This window comes from Homo sapiens, chromosome 15, assembly GCF_000001405.40.
Source record: "Homo sapiens chromosome 15, GRCh38.p14 Primary Assembly".
Taxonomy (NCBI): Eukaryota; Metazoa; Chordata; class Mammalia; order Primates; family Hominidae; genus Homo; species Homo sapiens.
The window spans coordinates 28,123,643-28,151,375 of NC_000015.10; the positions used below are offsets into that span (position 1 = coordinate 28,123,643).

General features: G+C 45.7%; 1 protein-coding gene across 10 annotated transcripts in view, besides 1 other annotated feature; it reads right to left on the reverse strand.

The window, feature by feature from the left end:
* The window catches only part of HERC2 (HECT and RLD domain containing E3 ubiquitin protein ligase 2), a 211,140-nt gene that overhangs the window by 12,603 nt on the left and 170,804 nt on the right, over positions 1-27,733 (reverse strand). For all 10 annotated transcript variants that reach the window (XM_006720727.4, XM_006720726.4, NM_004667.6 and 7 more), the window contains 15 exons: positions 22,595-22,702; positions 21,031-21,162; positions 20,435-20,593; positions 20,231-20,349; positions 19,185-19,310; positions 18,596-18,751; positions 18,089-18,204; positions 17,790-17,988; positions 11,836-12,050; positions 9,011-9,188; positions 8,458-8,619; positions 6,861-6,952; positions 6,521-6,660; positions 1,364-1,551; positions 395-592 (listed from right to left, as the gene is read on the reverse strand). In XM_006720727.4, the coding sequence (XP_006720790.1) occupies positions 395-592; positions 1,364-1,551; positions 6,521-6,660; positions 6,861-6,952; positions 8,458-8,619; positions 9,011-9,188; positions 11,836-12,050; positions 17,790-17,988; positions 18,089-18,204; positions 18,596-18,751; positions 19,185-19,310; positions 20,231-20,349; positions 20,435-20,593; positions 21,031-21,162; positions 22,595-22,702 (2,288 nt within the window). The remainder of the gene's footprint in view (positions 1-394; positions 593-1,363; positions 1,552-6,520; positions 6,661-6,860; positions 6,953-8,457; positions 8,620-9,010; positions 9,189-11,835; positions 12,051-17,789; positions 17,989-18,088; positions 18,205-18,595; positions 18,752-19,184; positions 19,311-20,230; positions 20,350-20,434; positions 20,594-21,030; positions 21,163-22,594; positions 22,703-27,733) is intronic.
* Positions 8,801-9,578: an enhancer, noted in NCBI's record as "H3K27ac-H3K4me1 hESC enhancer chr15:28377589-28378366 (GRCh37/hg19 assembly coordinates)". NCBI's record gives its function as "activates a minimal SCP1, AML or CMV promoter by ChIP-STARR-seq in primed H9 embryonic stem cells {active_cell/tissue: H9 hESC(primed)}" and the evidence as "EXISTENCE:reporter gene assay evidence [ECO:0000049][PMID:30033119]".

Consider the following 27,733-nt stretch of genomic DNA (forward strand, 5'->3'; position numbering starts at 1 on the left):
GAGAGAAACAGCCCAATCGCCGGCCTTCCTGTGTCAGTGGGGACTTGCCATAGCCACAAGGCCAGGCAGGCAGAGAAGGACCGCAGGAACAAAGGCTTAGTTTATGAAGGCCCCACCTCATCCTTCTGGAGCAGTGAGAGGCAGAGATTATGAAGGAGAGATGCAGCATCTTACTGTTTGCTTTTAATATAAACTCCAAAAGGGAACAGATTTTTGTCTGTTTTCTCATTGATATAAAGTACCCAGAACAGAGCCTGGCATGCAGGAGGCATTCCGTGAACATTTGCTGAATGAGCTGTATTCTATGTGTTCTATTCCCAGTATAGGAATTCTATTGGGTTACATGTACTGAAGACACCAGTTTCCCCTAGAGCAAAGATTGCCACTTGAATACCTTTCCCTGGGATATCAGAATTCCTCGGAGAGTGTCGAACCCAACAGAAGGCCCGAGTCCAGTTTCGTCGAGCGAGCCTTCCAGGTCGAACATGGGGATGCAGGGGCAGAAGAGCTCGGAGAGGTGGTGCAGCAGCAGCAGACGGTTCCTCAGCGCAATGATGGGGATCTCCTGCAGGTGATTGTACTCCATGGGGACCTAGAACACAGAAATGGCCTTCAGCCCCTCAGGCACCAAAGGCACACGGGGGCCAGTGTGGCATCCATTAAGGATTCTGAAAACAATTGTTTCAAATACAGAGAAGCACTATGGTGTCTGAGTTTGGTTTGCACAACCTCACTGTGCTGCTTTTAAAATAATATTCTGTCCAGTTTGACTGTAAAAAAAATTAGTCTATACAAATAAATTCACTAAGAAATGTGAGGCATGTACTAGCAGAACAGTTTGGTGTGGAAGAGTTTGGTGTGGGTTATAAGATATAGAAGGTGATACACACTGTACACACAGAATATTGGCTGGCATGAACATTCAAGGTTCTTTTGAGACAGGGTCTCACTCTGTCACCCAAGTAAGAGGGCAGTGGTGCAATCACTGCAGCTTGGACCTTTCAGACTCAAGTGATCCTCCCACCTCAGCCCTCAGCCTCCCAGGTAGCTGGGACTACAGGTGCATGCCACTATGCCTGACTAATTTTGTAGAGACAGGGTTTTGCTATGTTGTCCAGGCTGGTCCTGAACTCCTGAGTTCAAGCAATCCGCCCACCTTGGCCTCCCAAAGTGTTGGGATTACAGGTGTGAGCCACCACAACCAGCCAAATATCAAGGTTCTTAAATGCACTGTGTGGTTAACATTTACTGAGCCTGAATTATTTTCACCAAGAAGCCTCTGTAAACACACAACGACAGGATGCAGCATGTGACAGGAGCACACTTTGCTTGCCCCCGACCCACCCAACCTGCCCGGACTCACCTGTGCAGGGAGTTTGCCAGCACTGGCGGGCTTGCTGGTCGACCAGGCGAGGGTATGTGCTGAGCCACAGGCCACACGGTTGACCTTCTTACCCTGAAGGGCAGCTACCAACCGAGGCCTCTGGATGGCATTGGTGGTTCCGTCTCCCAGTTGTCCCTCATCATTGTCGCCCCATGTATAAACCTCACCTGAATGAAGTGAATTTAGAATCAGAACCTGTATACTAGGGCCAACAAACGCATGGCTGCCAGTGTCTTCCCACCACACACAGCACCAACGCTCCCTGCCCTTCAGCTGGTGTTGACCTAGTTGTCAACTTTACATATGACCTAGACATGAATGTCTGCTTTAGGTATGACCTAAACATGAATACATGCTAATTACACATCCAAAGAGGCGAGTATACTTCCCAGGACTCTCCACAGCCCCTGTTGGCCACCAGGCCTCTTCTAGTGAGAGACACACAACTCTGGTCTTAAGCCTCCAACAGTGTTAGTTCTCAGGACTAGGCATGAACAGCAGCAGTTCTCCATCAGAATAATATTAGAACAGATAGCAATATCCCGAACATCCCAAATCCATCTAATATTAAAACACATAGCAATATCCCTAACATTCCAAATTGCTCTTGCATGCGAAACAGAAAAGAAAAAGTCTGTTTTATTTATTTTATACTTTTTTTTTTGAGACAGGGTCTCACACTCTGTTGCCCAGGCTGGAGTAAACTGGCATGATCACGGTTCACTGCAGCCTCAACCTCCCCAGCTCAAGTGATCCTCCCACCTCATCTCCCAAAGTGTTGGGATTACATGCATGAACCACTGTGATGAAGTCTCACTTTGTCGCCCAGGCTGGAATGCAGTGGTGCGATCTCAAGCTCACCGCAACCTCCGCCTCCCGGGTTCGAGCGATTCTCCGGCCTCAGCCTCCTGAGTAGCTAGGCTCACAGGCACGCACCACCATGCCCAGCTAATTTTTGTATTTTTAGCAGAGACAGGGTTTCACCATGTGGGTCAGGCTGGTCTCGAACTCCTGACTTGGTGATCCACCTGAAAATCTATGTTTTTAAAATCAAAACCACAATGTGATACCACCTCACTCCTGCAAGAATGGCCATAATAAAATAAGAATAAAAAAAAATAGATGTTGGTATGGATGTGGTGAAAAGGGAACACTTATACTGCTGGTGGGAACAGAAACCAGTACAACACATTGAGATTTTCCCCCACTAGAGGGCGATAAAAACTAACAACAAGCTATCTGTGAAAACGCGTTGTGATGGAAAGCATTTTCCACGCTCCACTATGGAAAAGTATGGAGATTCCTCAAAGAACTAAAAGTAGATCTACCATTTGATCCAGCAATCCCACCACTAGGTACCTACCCAGAAGAAAAGACGTCATTATTTGAAAAAACACTTGCACACACATGTTTATAGCAGCACAATTTGCAATTACACAAATATGGAACCAGCTCCAAAGCCCATCCATCAATGAGTGGATAAAGAAAATGTGGTATATATACACCATGGAATACTACTAGCCATAAAAAGGAATGAAATGATTGCATTTGCCACAACCTGGATGGGACTAGAGACCATTATTCTAAGTAAAGTAACTCAGGAACGGAAAACCAAACCATATGTTCTCATGCGATGAGGATGCAACGGCATAAGAATGACACAATGGACTTTGGAGACTCGGGGGAAAGGGTAGGAGAGGAGTGAGGGATAAAAGACTACACATTGGGTACTGTGTACACTACTTGGGTGATGGGAGCACCCACCTCTCAGACATCACCTCTAAAGAGCTTATTCATGTAACCAAACACCACCTGTTCGCCAAAAACTTGTTGAAATAAAAATAAATTTAAAAAATAACATAAAAAAAGAACATGCCGTTTCTGTTCATATCCTAAACATAAGATTCACCATTCGCAAGAATCATCACACTTTTCAGTGCACCGTGTGGGACCTCAACCAAGAAATACCACCGGAAAATATTCTCAGGCAAGGTCCCTGGTGACCAGGATGGAAACAAGGCTCATGTTCTCTGGAGACACCATCAGGATTGTCAAATCCAGAGAGACTCCTCGGGTGTCTGGAAAGTGTGACGCCTGCGTGGTCAAGGGCAGTGTACTTGTCTCCTGCCCCTGCCTGCTCTCCACACGTTGGTCCTAAAGCCACGAGGCGGGTGTCGCACACACAAGGTGAGGAGGGTGTCTCTGCAGACGCAGCTGGGCATAGGGAATGAGTCTGTGAGAGTGAGGAGGGCTTCCACCCAGGTGCTAGCTCCGAGGGGAGTCAGCCAAGACCCCCACATGCAAGGGGAGGAGCCACACAGGGGAGGATGAGATGCTGGTTATGCACGGGGGGAGTGGCCAAATCGCCAGAAAAGAAAGGATCTGCAAGGTTGCCATGAGAAAACTGGAATGAACCCTGTGGATCCAAACTGGACCTGGGGATACTGGTGTGAACTCACAGTTTTCAACAGACATCAAACATAAACCAGGGTATTGTTTACATTACTATTCCCTGGCTTTGTCCACTGAGGAGGTCTGGGGAGCGGTGACGCCTCAATAGCAATGAGCACACCCATCATCCAGACCTTGTCTTCTCAAGGCCATTCTCCTCCACAGATGCCAGGGCTCCTTGGAGAAATGGCCAGGTCGAGGCGTGGGGCATGGCGGGAACAAGTGGAGGCTAATCATCTTCTTCTGCCAGAGCAAGGAAGTACTCCCAGACAACGGGGACACACAAAAAGGGGGCAGAGCCAGCCAAATAGAGCACAACTAGAGCATCAAAATAAATAGACTATATACCCCAATGAATACATTAGGATCCATGATTCCCACTCAGATAAAACAAATACATGAATTGATTCAAAGCTGCATGAGAAAGGAATATTTAAATAGATTCAGGATGTCCCTACTAAATACTTGTTAATTATAAAGAATGTTCGCAGTGAAAAGCATGGCAGACAATGTAACCAAGCAACTGTAGTGAGCATCATCAGCAAGCAGACAAACTGCATGTCACCTGCAAGGATGAACTGTGACGATCAAAGACACACAACCCGAATCTACGCAGAAACATCGCAAAAAATCCAAACAGAAGAATGTGCTACAAAATAACTGGTGTCAAGTTGCAAGAAGCCCAGGAAGACGAGGAAGTGAAACGATGATGCCAGGCACTGAGAGAGTGTCACAGGACAGAGGGTACAGCTTGCCAGCTGACTGGCAGGCAATGTGCTGCAAATGGGCATGGGCGTCAGGCGGGGTGGGGGAGTGTGAACTGGCTGGCAGGACGAGCCTCCCTGTTTGTGGGAAACACACTGAAAAGCTCAGGACGCGGCAGCAGGACAGCAACTCACTCTCATGTGGACTGGGATAAGCAAGTTCTAGGTAATGTACTTCCAACTGGTTTGCTTCCAACTGTGATTTGTCTCAAAATTTAAAAGAATTAAATAAGTCAAATAAAAAGTTCTGGATCAAGAACTACAATGTCCTTCCACTACAGGCCACAGAAGTTGCTCATTCATCCATGAGCCTCTTCCCTCAATGAAATGATTAAAGGGTGCATGCTTATATAATTCACCAAAGGCTTTAACGAGGAGCACAGTTTGTGCGAAGGCCATGTTAATGAAAGATGGCGCCCACGTTTTTCACTGCTGCCATAACACATCCCCACAGCCCGGCTGGCTTAAACAACACACACTTAGGATCCTTTCGCTCTGCAGGTGAGAAGCCCCGCATGGGTCTGTCTCCCTTCCCAGAGGCCCCAGGGGAGAGTTTCCTTGCTCATTCAGACACAGCTCAGTTCTCTGTGGGACTGAGGTCCAGGTTCCTTGCTGGCTGAGCTATTCCCAGCTTCCAGGGGCCACCCCATTCCCCAGCCCTGTTCCTCCACGAAAGCCAGCAACAGAGGGTAGAGAGCTCTCAGACTTTGAAAATCTTTCTACTACCTCTTCAGTCACATCTCTGACTGACTCTTCTGCCTCCTTTTCTGATCAAAGGGTCTGTGTGATTACACTGGGCCCACTAAATAATCCAGAATAATCTCCATATCATCAAGTCAGCTGACTCACAAACTTCATTTGACCTGAAAAGTCCCTTTTGCCATTGTGTTGGGGTTCCCCGGACCGCCCCACGCTCCTGATTCTCCAGCATGACTTACAAGACTCAGCATACACTCCTCCTCACAGTTACAGTGTATTATGGCAAGAGGACACAGAGTAAGACCAGCACAGGGATGGGGACCTGTGGCAAAGCAGTGGGGGAACCAGGAGCAAGCTTCCAGAGTCCTCTCCCACAGGAGCCACACAGGACGAGCTTAACTGCCCCGGCACTGAGCTGTGTCAGGTGCTGTCTGCCGGGAAGCTGGGTAGAGACTCCAGGCCCAGGGTTTCCATCAGGGCTGATCACACAGGCACCCCCTGCCTGGCGCGTACCAAGTTCCAGACCAAGGAAAGCAGATTTCAGCACAGAACATGTCGCTTGTACAGACAGTTCAGGCACAGTGAACCACACCTACCACCTAGGGAACAGGGGATCCCTCCCGAAACCCAGGTTCCCAGACACCAGCAGAGGGCCAAGCCTGCAGCAGGTCTGTCTAAGGACACGTCTCAGGCTGGCTGCTAGCTCTGTTCTGCACAGCCCAGTAATAAGTAATAAATAGAACTCATTCACAGGTTTAACAGCAGGGGCTGAAGATGACAGGGCCAAAGCCCTGCTGACTGCAGATAGATTCTCAGGACACAGTATAAGCCTCTGCCTCCTTTTTTTTTTTTTTTTTGAGACAGTCTTGCTCTGTCACCAGGCTGGAGTGCAATGGCACGATCTTGGCTCACTGCAACCTCCACCTCCCGGGTTCAAGTGATTCTCCTGCCTCAGCCTCTTGAGTAGCTGAGATGCAGGCGCGCGCCACCATGCCCAGCTAATTTTTGTATTTTTAGTAGAGATGATGTTTACCGTGTAGGCCAGGCTGGTCTCGATCTCTTGACCTCGTGATCCGCCTGCCTCAGCCTCCCAAAGTGCTGGGGCAACAGGAGTGAGCCACCACACCTGGCCTGTGCCCCCTTTTAAGGCTGCGCATGTCCTTCATGCTCAACCCTCTTAGATTCACAGGCCTCAGTCCTGCGGCACTGAGCCCCTACCTACCATCCTCTGTGCAGCACACACAGTGCAGGGAGCCAGTGGCGATGGCGATGACTTTCTTCCCCTGCAACCCTTGGACCTGCCGAGGCCTTCGAACATGGTCATCTGATCCATGGCCCAACCTGTGATAATCGCCTTTGCCCCTGCACACAAAGGAAGCATGGAAATTATGGGGCAAGGTGATCTCACTGACCACCCTGACCAGCCTCCTGGGCAGCCTCTGCTGTTCAGGACACAACCATAGCCTGCTGCAGAAGCTACATTCCCATCCATGAAAAGGTGGTGCACATACCCCAATAAAAATCTGGTTTTAGTGGGTTTAAACAAACAGAATCTTGCGTACCAGGTATAAACAGCTCCAGATTTGGTAAGGGCAACAGAAAACTGGGATCCGCATTCCACTTTAACTACTCCAAGACCAGTAAGAGAATCAATCTAGAGGGGGAAAAGGTTCAATTAGACAGACAGCAACAAGGCTCCTGCTGACTGCTATAACCACACTGAGATTTAACTAAATCTAGTAAGAATTCTGAAAACTTGTACCCATGATGAATAATTAGTGCAACATAAAATCATATTCCACTTAATCTCAGCACTCTCAGGAGGCAGGCGGGACCGTGACTGACAGCACACCCGTTGGCACACTGTGGCCCGGTGGGACCCAGCACAGGGCACCAGAAATGGGAGCTTTGCAGGTGAGGCCTGCAAGCCTCTCCCCAGAATGGCCTCCCGCAACCATGCTTCTCTGTGCAGGAGCACCAAACTCCAGCAATCCCTGTGTCTCTCCTCACCTGCCCCAGCCCTCTCAGAGCAGAGGCCCGCGGGGGAGGAGCAGCAGGCAAGGGGAGGGATGGCCAAAAGCACTGGGCCCCACCCACCCTCCACACTGCACACCTGCCAGCCAACTTTCCCTATCCCACAAGCTGCTCCTCATGACCTCTGTGATTGCTCTCATATGTAAGTTCTTATATTTAATTCTGAACTCAAATTAATTAAAACTGACTTCATTCTCTAAATGAGACAATGTGGTAGGGCTCTAGTGTCTGGCCCTACCACAATGGCATCGGGACGTCCTGCTCCAGCCCCTCTGATGCCCAGCATCCTCAGCCTTGGAAGTGCAAACCCCAGGCTCTTTCCCACAAGGAGGGGCCTCTGACACATGCCACTGATGAGGGTCTGCTCCAGAAGCACCTGTGCCACACCTGCAACCCCACAGCCCCACGAGAGAGGAGGCCAGGCAGAGACAGGTTCGCAGCAACAGGCTCCCAAGTACCCAGCAGAGCACCTGGGCTACACGGCAGTGTGGTGTGCATGCACTGAGGTCACTGAGAAGCATGTGCAGGACCTGAACCACGTACCAGCCACCCATTCACAAGAGCAAAAGACATTCTGGCAAAGATAAGAAATCGCCTGCAGCCACCGGGCTTGAGTGGAGCAGAGCCGCCGACCCCACCAGGACTGCAGGACTCAGGCGCTGTGCAGGCCTTGCTCTCGCTCCTCACAGGACACCCACCTGAGATGGCCCCGGCTAACCCAGATGCAGTCCCTTTAGCAAGCACTGGCACCCCCAAGCGCGTGCCGTGGCAACTCCACACCACTGTAAACTGAGAGAGTGTGAGCCATGTGATATCCTTCTCTGAGACAGGCCTACATGCTATAAACCAGGAGGCTCCACGGTGCCCGGATGATCCCATCCACTTCTCAAGAGAACGCACACAGCACATAGAACACCTTACTCCCTCTAGGCCCTCCACACACTTTCTAGCCAATTACCCATTATATTTACTGGAACGAAGGTAAAGAGGAGGTTAAAGTGCTCCTAAGGAGCACACACGGGGGACAGTAATGGTGGCTCTGAGGCTGTGTTTTCCCAGAGGGGCCCTGGGGGCCCGACTGCGGTGAGCTGGGAGAGCACTGGGCAGGGAAAGAATGGGAAATACCTTCATAGGCACTTTACAGCCATCGCTGCCTCCCCGGCCGAGCTTGCCGTAGTCCCCGTCCCCCCAGGACCAGACAGTGTCGTCATCTGTGAGGCAGAGGGTCTGGGCATCTCCACTGCCACAGGCGATGTCAACCACACGGTGGCCCTGCAGCGCCTCCACCTTCAGAGAAAAGGGACTTGGGTTGGCCAAGCACAACACAAGAAGGCTTGCCACAGGACTGGCTTCACAACACTGCCATTCTTTTTTTATGGGGGTACCTGTTTTAAGCCTTTACAAAGAGGTGATTTCTAAAATCCTATAAGACAAAAGAGAAAGCACCTTCATCTATTTGAACTACATGCATCTAAACCGCAGGAGGAGGTATCAGCGTCTTTGATGAGCCAACCCTACATCACCATGAAGGCTGTTTATTCACTTCTTGCACCCAAAAATACAGTGGGCCTTCTAGAAGCCAAAGCATTTTTCATAACAACGGTGGCAAACCGCCCCCATCTGACAGCAGCAGTGAGGAGCATGCAGCCTCCGGCCTCTGCACACGGCGCCTCCTCACCAGCTTCGGCTTCAGCTGGTCCTCACTGTCGCTGTGCCCCAGCCGGCCGTAGCGGCCTTTGCCCCATGTGTAGAGGTCCCCGGCTGCTGTGACACAGGCGCTGTGGGCTCCGCCAGCAGCAACATCGACCACTTCAATTCCTCTCAGAGACTCGATGACACGAGGGCGGTCACACGGACTGCAAAAAAGTCACCAAATATAATGGAAACACATTTTTATTCTTAAACATTTTTCAGTGTATTAAATACCTCTCAATCTACACCTTCCTAATCAGTTAATTGTTAAATCAATCAAGAAGAATCATTCAGACCTAAACTCAAAAGTTCACCACTTCCTATCTCCTTCCTGTACAAGGCCAGAGGACACGGCTTCCCCAGCTCTGACTCAGAGGCTGGAAAGTGACCACACATACTGGGTCAAGTTCGAAGCACAGACCATTTTTCAAAGGCCTATGAGCTGAGAACAGGTTTTACATTTTAACGGGTTTAAAAAAAAAAAAAAAGAATCATATGCAACTCCTAAAATAGTTACCATCTGGCCCTATAAGGAAAGTTTGCACCTCACCCCCACTATGAATTAACAATTCATTTAAGGAGTTTTAACATATGAATGTCACTAGTCTATAACATAGTGACTACTGATAACAAACTTTTTGTTTTCTTATTAAGTTCTGAAAGAAGTTCTTTATATATTTTGGCTATCAGACCTTAGTCAGATTATATGATTGTGAATATCCTTTCCCAGCTTGTGGTTTCAATCTCTTCATAGTGTCTTTTGAAGAACAGTTCATAATTTTTATGAAGTCCAAGTTATATTTTTCTTTCATGAATCATGCTTTTGGAGTTCAATCTAAAAATCTTTTCTGACCTAAAGTCACAAAAATTTTCTCATGTTTTCTTCCAGAACTTTTAAGTTTTACATTTTACATTCTACATTCATGACTATGGTTCATTTTGAATTAATGTTTGGATATGGTGTAAAGTATGAATTTAAGTTCATTTCTTGCCATAGGTTATCCAATTATTCAAAACCACTTGTTGAAAATAGTATATTTTCTCCAGTGAACTGGCTGTGCACTCGTATAAACTGTGCACTAGAAACTGTGAGAAGTCCAGTTTCATTTTTCCACACTCATCTTGTCAGCATTTGCCAGCCGGTTTCTGGATTCCCTATTCTGCTCCATTGATGTATCTGTCTCTCTCTTTTTGCCAGCACCAAGCCATGCTGTTTACTGCAGCTATAAATGAGGCTTAAGTCAGGTAGTGCAAATCTTCCGACCTTTTCCTCATTTTCAAAGTTGATTTGACTATTCTAGGCCATCTGCATCTCCATATACATTTTATGCTCCGCTTATCAATTTCTATACAAATCTTGATTGGGAAGGTGTTGAATCTATAGATTTGAGGATAGCCAGCAAATTAACAATACTGACTCTTCTGCTCCATGAACACAGCATGCCCCTTCACGACTTTAGGTTTTTTAAAAATTATCTCAGCAATACTTTGTAGTCTTCTGTCTACAGGGTCATTCACATTTTTGGGTCAGATTTATCCCATAGTTTTTCAATTCTGGGAGAGGGTATTCTAAGTGGTATTTTAAAATTTCACTTTCTGGTTACGTATATGTATACGTATAGATGTACAAGTAACTTTTATTTATTGATCTTCTATCCCGCAACACTGCTAGCCTCACTTATCAGTTCTAGCAGCTTTTTGTAAATACCACCAGGTTCTCTGCATAAACAATGTTTTCTGCAAAAAAGACAGTTTTAATTCTCTTTACAATCTAGATGCCTTTTATTTCTTTGCACTGCTGTACCGCACTTACTAAACCTGTTGCACAATGTTGAAGAGAAGTGGTGATAGCAGACATCCTTGCCTTGATCCTCAACTCAGGGGGAAAGCTTTTGGTCTGTTGCCATTAACTACAACCTAAGCTCTAGGTTAACAGAGATGCCCTTGATCAGGTAAAGGAAGAGACCTCTTACTCCTAGACTACTCAGAGTTTTTATCAGAAATGGATGTTGGAGTTTGCCAAATTATTTTTTCCTCTTTTTTTTTTTTTTTTTGAGATGGAGTCTCGCTCTGTTCCCCAGGCTGGAGTGCAGTGGCGCAATCTCGGCTCACTGCAACCTCCACCTCCCGAGAAGCTGGGACTACAGGTGTGTGTCACCACATCTGGCTAATTTTTTTCTATTTTTTGTAGAAATGGGGTTTCATCATATTGCCCAGGCTAGTCTTGAACTCCTGAGTTCAAGCAATCTGCCCACCTCAGCTTCCCAAAGTGCTGGGATTACAGGCGTGAGCCACCACGCCGGACCTGTTTAATATATTTTATATGGTGGTTTAGTTATTCCTAGGATAAGAAGGCCCCTGTTACTCCAATCTGGCTGGTAGTTCTCATTAATTTTTTAATACTTGTGAGTTTGGTTCATTCTTTTACAAATGGTGTCAATTGTGCGTTCTTTCTTCCTCACCCCTGCTATTTCCTCTGTATTTGCAGTTTTAGTATCACGCACGTTACACAAAATGCCAAACGTGATTCAGTGGATGATTTAAGGGAGAAGGACAAAAAAACACTTACTTAGTACTTGTCATCAAAAACACAGAATTGACTTTTTTTTCCCTCTCAACAGAGGAATCATACGGGTAAGCCTTCGTATTGGAACATAAAACTATTTCTGCCAAATGAGTCATTAACATTATTTAGTTTGAGAGTATTGTAAATGTTGCCTTGAAAAACAAAGCGCCAATAGATTGTAGCAGCATTAAAACAAACAAAAACAAAGACAAATAGAATGTTGAAATAATTTTTTCACATCATACCTTCTGTTGCCATGCCCCAACTTCCCATCTTCTGCCTCACCCCAAGAGTAAACTTCTCCTTCTGAAGACAGGGCAAGGCAGTGCTTTCCTCCAGAGTTCACAGCTACTTTCTTAATAAACACATGCTGAATGGATTCAAGCAATGTTGGGGTGGACACCGACTCTGTCCCTCCAATGCCTAGTCTGCCACCTGCACCATACCCAGTGGCATACAGCTAAGAAAAGAAAAAGCAATAGTAACATCAGTTTTTAATCTCAATATCCCCTAAATTTACTAATTCATAAACCTAATCCATGCTTTAGACATTTTTACCACATAGAAATAAAATTTAAAGTTAAAAATCTCAGGAATATAAGTTTATGCCTTTATACATGCTCTATCAAAGTTCTAGAAATGAAATAAAAACATGACTATTAGAAATTCCAAATTCAGAAAACATATTGTGAAAATAAGGTCTTCTTGCTGGAAGCTCTTCCATTTTTGTGTAGAATACCAACTACAATTAACACCAAGAAAAATAAAAAACAATTTAATTATCTACTATATGCAAAACTCTGACAATAACAGCCACAAAACATACCCATAAAAGAACACAAATACATTTTAATATTTCAGCAGGGCAGCATATAAACCACAAGGGAAAAAACACCTTTTTTTTTTTTAATCTAAGTGGGAATGTTTTAGGACACAAAACATCTATGATTAATTTTAAAAAATGATTAATTTAAAAACATACACACACTAAATCAGACTGCCGTTTTCCAAATGAAGGCAAACATCCCTCCTGATAAAAACTTAAATGCTGTTCCATGCTGTTTTAGACATCTTTCAAACGTGCTGCTGCACTGACATAATATAAGGAAGCCACAAGGGCCAATGCAGGAAGTGAAACCCAAACTCAGGTGGATAAATGAGCCCCACCCCCAAAGCCAGCTTCTGGCGGGGAGGGTGTGAGGCTCTCTGGTGCACAGGGTGCAGGGTAATGCAGCATGCCTCCCAGGACTTCCTATAGAAAGTGGGGCTCCAAAGGGTTGCCCCTCAGTGACTGTGAATAAGAAGAACACCACAGAAAGCTGCCCTTCCCAGCCTCAGCACTGACAGGGAGACAGAGGCTTGCTCCTGAGAATTCATAACTACAACAGGAGTTGGCAAATTATGGCCCATGTGCCAAATCAGGCCCATCATTTCTTTCTGTAAATGAAGCTTTACGGGAACACGGCCACACCCACTCATTTATAATATGTCCAGGGCTGCTTTTGTAGTCGCAACAGAGACTATATGGCCCAAAGCTGAAAATACCATTGTGCCCTTTACAGAAAGTGTTTACCAACCCCCACCCTAGAAAAAGGACAAAATGAAGATATTTTGAAACAAACAATCAGAATTAACCAACGAAAGAATTTCACTAAAGTAAATTGAGAAAGATATGCTAAAGGAGAAGGAAATGATTTTATAAGATCTGAGACATAACAAATGATGGTAAGAAATGATAGTAAGCAAAGATGTGCAACATTTAGCTAACTCAAAAAAAAAAACCACAGTCCATATAAAACAACCAAAACAACAACAATAATGTCTATGGCAGAGGGGAATAGGTTAGAACCCAAACACTGGGTAACAAGGGGTCACTGATTGGGAGGAGGGGAAAATACTAATTAACTTTAGGTTTTTAAGTACCTATGTTAAAATAACCAGAGAAACAATGAAAAGAAACAGAATTCTCCTGAGAATTGACACAGAGGGGCTATATTTCAAACCTTTTTATGAGGCTAGACCACTTCAACACCTGTGCTAGCAGTCTGCCTCTGATACGGTTCACAATGATCCCTGCTTCTAAATATGTGTGCTCCTGTATACAGGCACACCCCATTTGACTGTGCCTTGCTTTACTGTACCTCGCAGATACTGTTTTTTATAAACTGAAGGTCTGTGGCAACCCTACACTGATCAAGTCTATCGGCGCCATTTTCCCAAAAGCATGTGCTGACTTACCGTCGCTATGTCACGTTTTGATAATTCTTGAAATATTTTAAACTTTTTCATTATTTTATCTGTTATGATGATCTGTGATCAGTAATGTTTGATGTTACTGTTGTACTTGTTTTGAGGCACCACAAACCACACCCATAGAAGACGGTGAACTTAAACGATAAATGTGTATGTTCTGATTGCTCCGCCAACCAGCTGTTCTCCCATCTCTCTCCCTCTCCTCAGACCTCCCTATTATGTCCCTGAGACACAACTTATTGAAATAAGGCCACTTAATAACCCTACAGTGGCCTCTAAGAGTTCAAGTGAAAGGAAGAGTTGCATATTTCTCACTTTAAGTCAAAAGCTAGAAATGATTAAGATTAGTGAGTAAGGCACACTGAAAGCCAAGACAGGCTGAATGCTAGGCCTCTTGCACCAGTTACCCAAGAAAAAGTTCTTGAAGCACAATTAAGTGCAATTCTTGTAAACACACAAATGATGAGAATGCAAAACAGTCTTATTGCTGATATAGAGAATGTTTGGCATAGACAGAAGATCAAAACGGATACAATATTCCCTTAAGCCAAAGCTAATCCAGAGCTTGCTAACTGTCTTCAATTCCACGAAGGCTAACAGAGGTGAGAAGGCTGCTGAAGGAAAGTCTGAAGGTAACAGAGATTGGTTCCTGAGGTTTAAGGAAAGACGCCGTCTTCATAACATAAAAGTGCAAGGGAAAGTAGCAAGTGCTGATGTAGAAGCTGCAGCAAGTTACCCAGAAGATCTAGCCAAGATCAGTGATGAAGGTGGCTACGCTAAACAACAGGCTTTCAACGTAGATGGAACAACCGTCTATTGGAAGAAGATGCCAGCTAGGACTTTCATAGCTAGAGAGAAGTCAATGTTTGCCTTCAAAGCTTCAAATATTTTGTTAGGGGCTAATGCAGCTGATGACTATATTAGTTGAATTCATTGAAGTCAATGCTCATTGACCATTCTGAAAATCTTAGGGCCCTTAAGAATTATGCTAACTCCACTCTGACTGTGCTCCAGAAATAGAACAAAACCTGGAAGTCAGCACATTTGTTTACAGCATGGTTCACTGAATATTTTAAGCCCACTATTGAGGCCTACTGCTCAGAAAAAAAGATTTCTTTCAAAACATTACTGCTCATTGACAATGTACCTGGTCGCCCAAGAGCTCTGATGAACATGTACAAAGAGATTAAAGTTGTTTTCATGCCGGCTAACACATCATTTTTTCTGCAGCCACATGGATCAAGGAGTAATTTCGACTTTCAAATCTTGTTATTTAAGAAATACATTTCATAAGGCTATAGCTGCCATAGACAGTGATTCCTCTAACGGATGTGGACAAACTAAATTGAAAACCTTCTGGAAAGCCAGCACCATTATAAATGCCATTAAGAACATTTGTGATTCATGGGAGGAGGTGAAAATATCAACATTAACAGGGATTTGGAAGAAGTGGATTCCAACCCTCACAGATGACCTTGAGGGATTCAACACGAGTGGAAGAAGTGACCTCAGATGTGGTGGAAACAGCAAGAGAACTAGAATTAGAAGTGGAGTCTAAAGATGTGACTTAATAGACTATAGTACTTTTATATCCACTGGGAAACCAAGAAATTTGTGTGACATGCTTTGCGAAGACACTTGCTTTATTGTGTTGATTTAGAACCAAGCCTGCATATCTCCAAGCATGCCTACAGCTCCCTCTCCCTGAGTGTGGGCTGGACTTAATGACCTGCTTCTGATGAGCAGAATAGGGCAAGAACTGGAGTGTGGTCACTTCTGTGATTCAGTTACACAGGACCGGGGCTCTGTCTCCTCCACTCTCTCTTGCTGGTGCTCCCTCCTGCGCCTCCCTTGCTCTCGCTGACAGAGTCAGCTGCCACCCTGTGAGACGCTCTATGGACACGTGGCAAAGGGCTGAGTGAGGGGAGGCTCTGCCAACAGCTCATAAGGGACTGAGGCCTCAGCCCAAAGTTCCATGAGGGACTGAATCCTTGCTCGGACAGCCTCAAGATGACTGCAGCCTGCTGAGATTCTGAGCTGGAGGACGGAGCTATGCTGCATCCAGAGTCCTGACCCAGAGAAACTATGAAATAATAAATGTGTGTGAGACAGTACATTACATGAGAGTATCTCACTCATGAATAGGATCTCCCAAAAATCTAAAACAAAACTATCACAAACACAAGCCAGATACATATCCTGACCAAACTGGATCTATCCAAAGAATGTAAGTTTGTTTAATATGAGAAAACCAATTAATCCAACTGGCTATACTAATCCATTAGAAAACATTGGCCGGGCACGGTAGCTCATGCCTGTAATCCCAGCACTTTGGGAGGCCAAGGTGGTCGGATCACAAGGTCAGGAGTTCAAGACCAGCCTGGCCAATATGGCGAAACCCCATCTCTACTAAAAAAAAAAAAAAAAAAAAGATTAGCCAGGCGTGGTGGCGGGCGCCTGTTGTCCCAGCTACTCGGGAGGCTGAGGTAGGAGAATCGCTTGAACCCAGGAGGCAGAGGTTGTAGTGAGCCGAGACTGTGCCACTGCACTCCAGCCTGGGCGACAGAGTGAGACTCTGTCTCAAAAAAAAAAAAGAAGAAGAAGAAAACATCTATGAAAGAACATTTCAAAACACGTAGAAAGAGTGTTGAACAAAAATCAGTGTCCACTGTTGACTAGAAACAGAAGGAAACATGCCTAATCTGATCAAGGGCTTCTACTCAAACCCCACTGGAAGCCTGGGAACGCTCCATCTGCACCCGCTCCAGTCTTGATCAAGGCAGGAGCCTCCACCCACTCCTACCCAGAATCACACCGCAACCCCAGCCTGCACCATGAGCTCCCATTCTCCCACACAAACGGGAAAAATAAAAGAGAGGTAGGCTAGACAGAAAGGAACAGCATTCATTTAGAGACTACGGCACTCTATAAAGAAGATACAAGAAATCTTCACATATACTAGAATGGAGACAGTCAAGTAGGTCACCAAACATAAAGTCAATATATAAACATCCAATATTTCTATATATCAGTGGCAATCTTTTTTTGGGGGCGGAGACAGAATCTCACTCCGTCACCCAGGCTGGAGTGCAGTGGTGTGATCTCGGCTCACTGCAACCTCCATCTCCCGGGTTCCAGTGATTCTCCTGCCTCAGCCTCCCGAGTAGCTGGGATTACAGGCACATGTCACTGAGCCTGGCTTATTTTTGTATTTTTCGTAGAGACAGGGTTTTCCTATGTTGGCCAGGCTGGTCTCGAACTCCTGACATCAGGTGATCCACCCACCTTGGGCTCCCAAATTGCTGGGATTACAGGCATGAGCCACCGCACCGGGTCAGCAGCAATACATTTTTTAAAAGATAGTATTTACAATAGCAAACAAGAAATACATCTAACGAGTGATGTGCAAATAAAAATTGTAATACTTTTGCATACATGACGTATTTTCAAAATAAAAATAAAAATAAATTGGCCGGGCGTGGTGGCTCATGCCTGTAATCCCAGCACTTTGGAAGGCCGAGGTGGGTGGATCACCTGAGGTCAGGAGTTCGAGACCAGCCTGGCCGACATGGTGAAAACCTGTCTCTACTAAAAATACAAAAGTTAGCCAGGTGTGGTGGCGGGCGCCTATAATCCCAGCTACTTGGGAGGTTGAGGCAGGAGAATCACTTGAACTCAGGAGGTGGAGGTTGCAGTGAGCCGAGACCACGCCATTGCACTCCAGCCTGGGCAACAAGAGCAAAACTGTCTTAAACTTTTTTTTTTTTTAATTTAAAGATTATACAAAAATATCTTAGAACTCTAGCTGCTTCCTGCATACCACAGTATCATTAATCCTGAGAAACGTTTTAGTACAGATCCTTGCACGTGCTAAGAACCACACAGCACCTTTAGCCACAACTGCCTCAGGCTCAATGACCTTGTGACATAGAAAAAGAGCTCTTACCTTCCCATCAGCCGTCACAGCAAAGAGGGTCTGTTCCCCTCCGATTAACTGCACGGGTCTGAGAGTTGCAAGGGCTTCACAGGGAGTGGGAACTTTGACTTTTGCGCCTTCAATGCCCCCGAGCTGGCCCCTGTGATTATGTCCCCATCCATAAATTGTTCCACTGCCACCAGCAGAGAGAGTCCAGTCATCTGGTCGCCTACAATACACATCAAGTGAGCATTTGCCATGGGCAAGAACAATGCACACAGCCTCTCACACTCACGATCGACATTACTGCTTGTTTCTAATATAATAACCTGTTCATCCACTGCACAAGTTGTTCGTCTTGCTCTCTTTTAAAAATGTCATGGCTCTCATGCAGAACATCCATGTTTTCGCTGTCTGCCATTAATTCACGAATTTTCTTAGCCACCTAAACAAAATTATTATGATGTTACAAATCAAACACTTATCTCAAACAAAATAGATAAATACTAAGGAAAGACAGAAGGAATCCCTGCCTAAAAATATGAGGGAAGAGCAACATTGCAATGTTATGGTTCATGGGCAAAACCAATAATGACTGCATCAAGTCTAACATATTAGAAATGTCTAGACAGTATCATTCTACCTGTAGTTTACTAAAAATAAACTTTAACTGAAATTCACAGTGTCAGTTCACTCATTTTCACCTATGTGTTATTTTCTTTGATATTCCTTGGCAAGCGAAATTTTTCTGTGTCTCGTAATATTGGCATCTTGTTACACTATAGCTAAATAATGTTTTTGCATCCCAAAAGTGATTCCAAAATATCATGCAATACCTCATCAAGAAACAGACGGGGCAACGGTGTTCTTTTGTCAAGGGCCACAGCAACACGGGAGGCCATGCAGTACCTCCGGAACCAGGCCCACTTGTGCGTCTCGGCACAGCAAGGCAGAGTGTCCAGCTCCAGGTCACAAGCAAGAGCTACCAGTACCTGCAGGCACCAAAAATGACAAACTCAGGGAAACTCAGAAATGCAGTGAACAGGCCAAGGTTTCTGTGGCTCCTTCCGCAGGACCTCCTATTCCAGGATGACGGCCATGGGCACAGCAAGGATACGGCCACCATCAGTGATGTGGCGACCTCTGACAGTTCCTAGCCACGTGCCACACAACTGCTGCAACACTTGTTGCCTGCATCAAGTGACAAGAACACCTGTGCATCTCAAGGCATGCTAACGGTTACAGGCTTATGGTTTAAGGGTTTAGATTACACGATCATTTCTTGAGATTTTTTCATATTTGACTTCAGCAATACCTACAGCTGCCCTCAGAGGCCTAAAACACACACACTGCACATGACAACTCTCAGTGGCTCTTTCAGTCAAATAGCTCTATTGTCACTTTAAAAAAGAAGTGAAACATTACCTTAAAGAATGGGCTGTGGAGCAGCTGTTTGCCACCCCTCACAATAGGATCTTCATATTCAAACTGCCTTTGCAAAGCTTCTGGAAGACCTTTCACCAAAGCAGCAAGAGCACTACCTGTAAAACTCTAAGAAACAACAGAACAGTATTCTATCGCAGGAATCCAGGTGCCGGGGAGGCTGACCATTTGTTTCTACCGTCAAATGTTTTATTATGTTGGTACTAACTCTTCTAAAAAAACTAAAAAAAAAAAGCTTATCAAAATTCTCAAGTAGGAAAAAAGCTAAAAGAACATAAACACTGAAATAAAAAAGAGGAGTTTGAAGACTCATCTCAGAATGTTTGGTCTTGATTTCAGTACATCCGCTTCCAGAGAAATAGCCCCTCTCTGGCCCACAAACGCTGCCTGTCTCGTCCCATGGGTAGGATCAAAAGGGACTACTTTAGTCAGCAAAATAAAGGGGAGGCCAATCAGTTAGCCTCATTGTAAAGTCCAATCAACACAATCCTATGTTCACAGCTGTCGAGACAGATTTTCAGAATATCAAAGTCCAACTTGAACTCAGTATACACTGCAACATACGAGAAGTCTGGATGGGACAAAGGCCTCCTTATTTTTATTCATTTATTTATTTTTTTTGAGATGGAGTCTCGCTCTGTCACCAGGCTGGAGTGTAGTGGCGGGATCTCAGCTCACTCCAACCTCCACGTCCCAGGTTCAAGCGATTCTCCTGCCTCAGCCTCCCAAGTAGCTGGGACTACAGGTGCCCACCACCACGCCCATCTAATTTTTTGTATTTTTAGTAGAGTCAGGATTTCACCGTGTTAGCCAGGATGGTCTCGATCTCCTGACCTCGTGATCCGCCCACCTCAGCCTCCCAAAGTGGTGGCATTACACGCATGAGCCACCGCGCCCGGTCCAAGGCCTCCTTATTCTTATGTGAAACTCCCCAACTCCTCTCAACGATTTAGAGGTTTAGACTACTAAAGCAACATTTTATTCCCCAAGGGTCACAAATCTAGAAATTGTACTAGAATGCTCCATACCAAAGCTCTTGTTTCCCCATCATTTTCTCCAAGCAGCCTATTTATGTTAATTGACTGCCCAAATTCAGTTGTAAGCAGCTTCCTCAGTCTCTGAAGGGCCCACATTCTGTGACTGGCAGCTGAAATGAGCAGAGAGAAAGTATCAGAAGTCTGATGGTTTCTTCCAAGCAGGAAGACAGATGTAACTGTAATGGTGGCATTTACCTAGGGCACTCAGCTGTGCACAAGCTGCCAGCGAGGCCGCAAGGCGAGGGACGATGCTTCTGTTAGAGGCAAGGTTGAGTCGGAAGTCTAACAGACACGTCACCAAGTCCATGGATGGACAGGAGAGGACGCAGCGGTCAGAGAGGAGTTCTTTAGGGCCTGTGAATGAACACTGTAAACATCCCCGGGTTTCACAAGCTAGGTACCACCCCATAAGAAGCCGCCAACGAACAAGGGTGGCTCCACCCAGCCCCACCCACCAGAAGGCAACAGCTGGTGTGCCCACGCATGCCACTGCGAGTCGGTGAGACTCGCTCTTCACACTCACATTTCCACTGTAAACCAAAAGCCTAAGAACTGCACCAGCAACAACTCCTTCCACACCAGGTGAGGAGGAGTGTGAGCCTGACAGCTGGATGGCTGGGACAGATCTGTGTTCTGTTCCACGCCTCAGCAGGGCCTGTGAGAGCACTCACTCCAACACAGCAGAAGGCAGGCTGTCAGGCACTACGTGGACATGTGCACGTGTCCCTGTTGCTCCAGAAACAATCCACAGCCAGTCATCTAACCTTGATCGCCATAAGCCCCTTCCTTACCAGCAGCTGGCATGATGGGATAGACGGTGAAGCGCCAGCCCCAGCCATTCACAGACCCATCGCTGATGAACTTCCACTTTAACTCATCCCCTGGGATGCGCAGCTCGCTGGACCAGTCGGACCACTCTCGGCCTGCGGGAGGAAAGCGCACCCCGGGGTTAGCTTCACTCCATCATCCAATCAACACAAACCTTCTTAGACGCAAAGCAGAATGATTTCCGTCACGTGTGAAGAGCAAGTTCCTCCAATCCAAGCTCTCCCAAGCCGAAGTGCACAGTGACACAACACTCTTGGGATTCACATTTTAATACATACCATTCTTCAGCAAACACGCATTCAGCCCCTGTACCAGGTACCCAGGAAACTGCGGCAGGCGGGCAGACACTGCCCTGGCAGAAGCCACCACCCAGTGGGGAAATGACCCCACCAGCCAGGATACAGTGAGTGGCCTCCAGGTGTCCAGCACACACCAGGCCAGGGGCCATGGGGACATTTCCCGGGAAAGCTCTGATACAACCAGGTGACCAGGCAGCAGAAGGAAGAACCCTAGCTCTCCCAACAAAAGGCCTATGTGTGTGGTTCAGCACGGCCCAGAGTAGGCCGCCCTCGAGGGAGCAGAGGGCCTGGCTGCTGTGGACAGGAGCGGTGGTGTACTACACCTAAGATCTACAGGATCTTAGAAGGCCAAGAGAACCCTGCCAGATTTCTGCTTCAGAAGGACCATCTGCCAGCAGCTCAGGGATGGCCCATAAAGGCTTTCCACTGGATGCAGAAAAACTCACATCCAACAACACTACTGAAAACTACACTGGCAGACATCTGTCAAAGCACCAGAAAAACCCACGCCCACTGGGACCATACCATTTCATGCAAAGCTTTACTTAACTAAGTAACACTGTGTGAATAAAGTTTTCCTGGGACACAGCCACGCCCATTCTCTGGCATCCAGTCTGCATGTTGTTATGACAGAGGCTGCATTACCTGGCCCTTTACAGGAAACACTCGAGATGAAGGATAAAGAGGTCTTAAAAGGTGCATACACACACCCCTGCACTGCCAATTCTAAAATACTTGGTAAAAGACCATTTCACAAGCACCCAAAGACGGTCCTGACCTGTCCCAGCTGGCCTCATGGAGCCCAGCAGCAGAGATAAGCCGGACATGTGGCTGCCTCCACCTACATACAGAAGTCACTCCACACATGGCCATGCCCTCACTGCAGCCAGTAAGAAACAAACCTTTTGAAGAAGCTCTGCAGTATGCCAACCATGACCTTACACGAGCTCTGGCACCTCACACGTCTCCAGCACCTTCTGCAACTGTCTGATGAGGCAGGGCCCATCCGACAGGGATGTGGTACATACATCACAGATAATTACTGTATTTAAAAGTATGGGAAAGAGGCAAGCAAACCCACTGTGTTTCACAGCTGAATAGCATATTGTCCCTTCCTTAAGACTTCCATGAGAATACGAAGGCAGCATTCTGTCCTACAAATGTGAAGGGTTGTGTCTACGGAGACACAGGTGGGTAGATCATGCCCTGCTCAACCTCCTGTCCTTACCTGACCGCACGGAGACGATCCTGTTGACGCCGTCCATGACTGTGAGAGGGTCGTGGCGCCTCTCTGTGGAGCACTGCCGGTCAAATTCTACCCTGAGTCCTTCTGCACCTGAAGGACAGGCAAGCACAAAACATAGCAACCACTCCAGATCAGCACCCAAAGTAGAAACAGTGAAACTAAAACCACATTTAACAGCTAATGAATAGCAGAAAGTCAGAAAGAACTGGCCTCAAAGACAAGCATCTCAGACTGACCACTCTTTCCCCAGCTCATCCCCACTGAAGATCATGTCTGTGGACTGGAAGGCCAGAAAACACTTCCACTTGGCCAATTTGTTTTGTGCGGTCACTCCCGGGCAGACTTTCCTACTGCAACCACACTCCCCTGATCAAGCTTTACAGCGAACATCACACTGACCAGGGGCTGTGGGAATGCCCAGTGTGCAGCCAAGTCAGATGGCAGCTGTGGGTCACCTGGGGAGTGAGCGGCATTGGAGGTGAGGAGCACCTCAACTTCTGGCGTGTCCAGAGAACTGGAGAACCGCTTGGTGTGGAGAACCCGCACATCTGGTGTGAGAGGTGTGCGAGCAGAGGCACAAGAGTTTTCCTTCAGGCTGGAAGATCTAGCAGAGGATGGCACTGAGAGGCCGGGAAAGAGGCAGGGGAGGAAGGAGGGAAGAAGGAGGGACGTGGGGCAGGGGCTCAGGTCCTCTCTTACGGTTACAGGGTTGACAGGCTTGGACTGGTTTTAAGATACTATCTCTGCATGCTCTGTTGGGAGCTGATTCTGGGGGGGCCGCAGGAGGTGGGGAGTGGAAGCAGGAACACAGGGAGGCAGCTAGTATGTGGTTGCTAGGATGATAAACTGGGTGAGACCCCGCGGTGCTCTAGCCCAGAATGTCTAGAGTGAGGGAAAAATGGTTGAATTTGGAATATATTTTAAAAGCAGAGAAAACAGGATTTGCTGGTGGACTAGATATAAAGCGAGAGAGAAACAGAAGAGAAAAAGGGTCACAAGATTTTCGTCTAGGAAAAGGCTGACTAGAAATACCCTTTGTTCTTTAAATTTCTATCATGAAGTAATAGCTTCAAGTTTAAAAATGCTTTTCTGGGCCAGATGTAGTGGTACACTCCTGTAATCTTAGCACTTCGGGAGGCCGAGGCAGGCAGCTTGTTTGAGCTCAGGAGTTAAAGACAGGCCTGGACAACAGGCTATATATTTTATTATATATTATATATTTTAAAATATAAAATTTTAAAAATTAGCTGGGCACGGCCTATAGTCCCAGTTACTCAGGAGGCTAAGGAAGGGGGATCGCTTGAGCCCAGAGTTTGGGGCTGTAGTGAGCCACGATCGTGCTACCATACTCCAACCTGGGCGACAAAGTGACAAAGCTTTTCTGAATCTCACACCTCATTCTAAAAGTTGAAGAAAAATGATTTCACAAAAAAAGTGAGTGAGATAAAAGTATAAGACCAAATACAATAAAAAGTTATTGTTAGAAAAAGGGAATAGGCTGGGTACAGTGGCTCACACCTGTAACGATCTCAACACTTTGGGAGGCCCAGCTGGGAGGACTGCTTGAGCCCAGGAGTTTGAGACAAGATTGGGCAACACAGAGAGACTCATCTCCACAAAAAATAAAAATAAGTTAGCCAAGTGTGGCAGCACAAGCCTGTAGTCCTAGCTTCTCGGGAGGCTGATGGGGAAGGACGGCTTGAGCCTGGGAGGTCGAGGCTGCAGTGAGTCAGAATCACACCACTGCACTTCAGCCTGGGTGACAGAGCAAGACTGTGTCTCCAAAAAAAAAAAAAAGAAAAGTGAGAATAAGGAACAAAATAACATCCCCACAGGCAATAAAAGCAGGCCAGAAAGATACACCCACAAAACACATCAACCCTGAACATTTCAAAACAAATTGAGTGAAATTAGAAAAATGATACAAGACATGAAAGAACCACATAAATCAGACTTACAAAAACCAAAACATTTTATAAAGCTGAAGACAGAATTACAATAAAACTACATTCCAATGGAGACTAAAACAGAGTGTAAAATCAAATAAACACAGCAGATGCTACCTTAAGACAAATAGGAAAAAAGGAGGAAATTTTAAAAAAAGAAACAGAGGTAGAAAGTACTTGAAAGAGAAAGTAACCAACATTAACTCTAAAAGGCATGAACTATGCAATGCATGGAGAGTTACCAAGTGTCCCCAGAAAAGACTGCTAAGCAAGGCTACAGAACAAACACTGCAGACTGTAATTCAAGAGAACGTCCTGCAAAACAGACTTGGGACGACAGACTAAAGGAGCACCCCTTACCCGAGAACATCACCGAGAACGGCCGCATGAACGTACATTCTGGTGAAATCACCAAAAAAACACATGCGGCTGCTAACCGAGAACGGCCACACGAACGCACATTCTAGTAACACTACCGAAGAAACACATGCGGCTTCTAACCGAGAACATCACCGAGAACGGCTGCATGAACGCGCATTCTAGTAAAACTACCGAAGAAACACATGCGGCTTCTAACCGAGAGCATCACCGAGAACGGCCACACGAACGTACATTCTAGTAAAACTACTGATAAAACACACGCAACTTCTAACTGAGAACATCACTGAGAACGGCCACACAAACGTATATTCTAGTAAAATTACTGAAAAAACACACAACTCCTAACTGAAACATCACCGAGAACGGCCACACCAACATACATTCTAGTAAAATTACCAAAAAAACACACACGGCTCCTAACCGAGAACATCACCGAGAACGGCCGCACAAACGTACATTCTAGTAAAATTACCGAAAAAACAAACGAGACTCCTAACCGAGAACATCACCAAGAACAGCCACACGAACGTATAATCTAGTAATATTACCAAAAAAACACACGCGACTTCTAACCGAGAACATCACCAAGAATGGCCACACGAACGCACATTCTAGAAAAATTACCGAAAAATACACGCAGCTCCTAACTGAAAACATCACCGAAAATGGCCACACGAACACGTGTTCTAGTAAAATTACCGAAAAAACACACGCAGCTCCTGAGAACATCACCGAAAATGGCCACACCAACATACATTCTAGTAAAATTACCAAAAAAACACACGCGGCTCCTAACCGAGAACGTCACCGAGAACGGCCACACCAACATACATTCTAGTAAAATTACCAAAAAAACACATGCGGCTCCTAACCGAGAACGTCACCGAGAACGGCCACACCAACATACATTCCAGTAACATTACCAAAAAAACACACGCGGCTCCTAACCGAGAACGTCACCGAGAATGGCCACACCAACATACGTTCTAGTAAAATTACCAAAAAAACACACGCGGCTCCTAACCGAGAACATCACCGAGAACGGCTGCACGAACGTACATTCTAGTAAAATTACCGAAAAAATACATGCAACTTCTAACCGAGAACATCACTTAGAATGGCCACATGAACGCACGTTCTAGTAAAATTACCGAAAAAACACACGCGACTTCCAACCAAGAACGGTCACACCAATGTATATTCTAGTAAAATCACCGAAAAAACACACGTGACTTCTAACCAAGAACATCGCCGAGAACAGCCACACGAACGCACATTCTAGTAAAATTACCAAAAAAACACATGCGACTTCTAACCAAGAGCATCACCAAGAACAGCCACACGAACGCACATTCTAGTAAAATTACCAAAAAACACACACGGCTCCTAACCGAGAACATCACCGAGAACGGCCACACGAACACACATTCTAGTAAAATTACCAAAAAAACACACGTGACTTCTAACCAAGAACATCACCTAGAACGGCCACACAAACGCACATTCTAGTAAAATTACCGAAAAACACACACGGCTCCTAACCGAGAACATCACTGAGAATAGCCGCACAAATGCACATTCTAGTGAAATCACGAAAAAAACGCACGCGGCTGCTAACCGAGAACATCACCGAGAATGGCCACATGAACGTACGTTCTAGTAAAATTACCGAAGAAACACACGCGGCTTCTAACCGAGAACATCACTGAGGACGGCCACACGAATGTATATTCTAGTAAAATTACTGAAAAAACACGCGGCTTCTAACAGAGAACATCACCGAGAACAGCCGAATGAACCCACATTCTAGTAAAATTACCGAAAAACACACACTGGCTTAACCGAGAACATCACCGACAACGGCCACACGAACGTACATTCTAGTGAAATTACCAAAAAAACACACGCAGCTTCTAACCGAGAATATCACCGAGAACAGCCACATGAACGTATACTCTAGTGAAATCACCGAAAAAAACACACGCGGCTTCTAACCAAGAACATCACCGAGAATGGCCACACGAACGTACATTCTAGTGAAATTACCAAAAAAACACACACGGCTCCTAACCAAGAACATCACCAACAACGGCCACACAGACATTCTAGTGAAATTACAGAAAAAACACACGCGGCTTCTAACTAACCGAGAACATCACCGAGAATGGCCACACGAACGTATATTCTAGTAAAATTACTGAAAAAACACACGTGACTTCTAAGGGGAAAAGATGTTATCATTATCATACTTTCACAGAGGAAAAAGACATGATCCAAGGCTTTAATATCCAGAAAAACTACCTTTCAAATTTGAAGGACAAAAACTCTCATGGACAAGTCTGATCTCAGGGACTAATGAGGAATTCACTAGAGTCCACTTCAGACCCCACGAGGACCAGTCAGTAAAACTAAGACTTGAAGACTGAAAGAAAGTATAGTATGTAACAGCTATTATGCTCTTGTAGATGCAGTATAATTATTTTAATAAATTCGAGAAAATTAGGGCATATTCTAAGATTTTTAAGAATTTCAGTAATTATACTGATGTTGGCAGTATTGAAATTATATCCTAAGTCTGTCGTGTATGAAATGTGGTTATGTAAAGCAAATGAAAAATCATGAGATATTTTATCAAACACTCTTGGAACCAGGATTTGATATGGAAGAAAGGAGAGACAGATGTAACAGAAGAAGTACAGACCCCATACTTTTGAATTTGAGTAGAAGGAATCAGCATATTAGCCAGGCAAGGTGGCATGTGTCTGTACTCCTAGCTACTCAGGAGGCTGAGGCA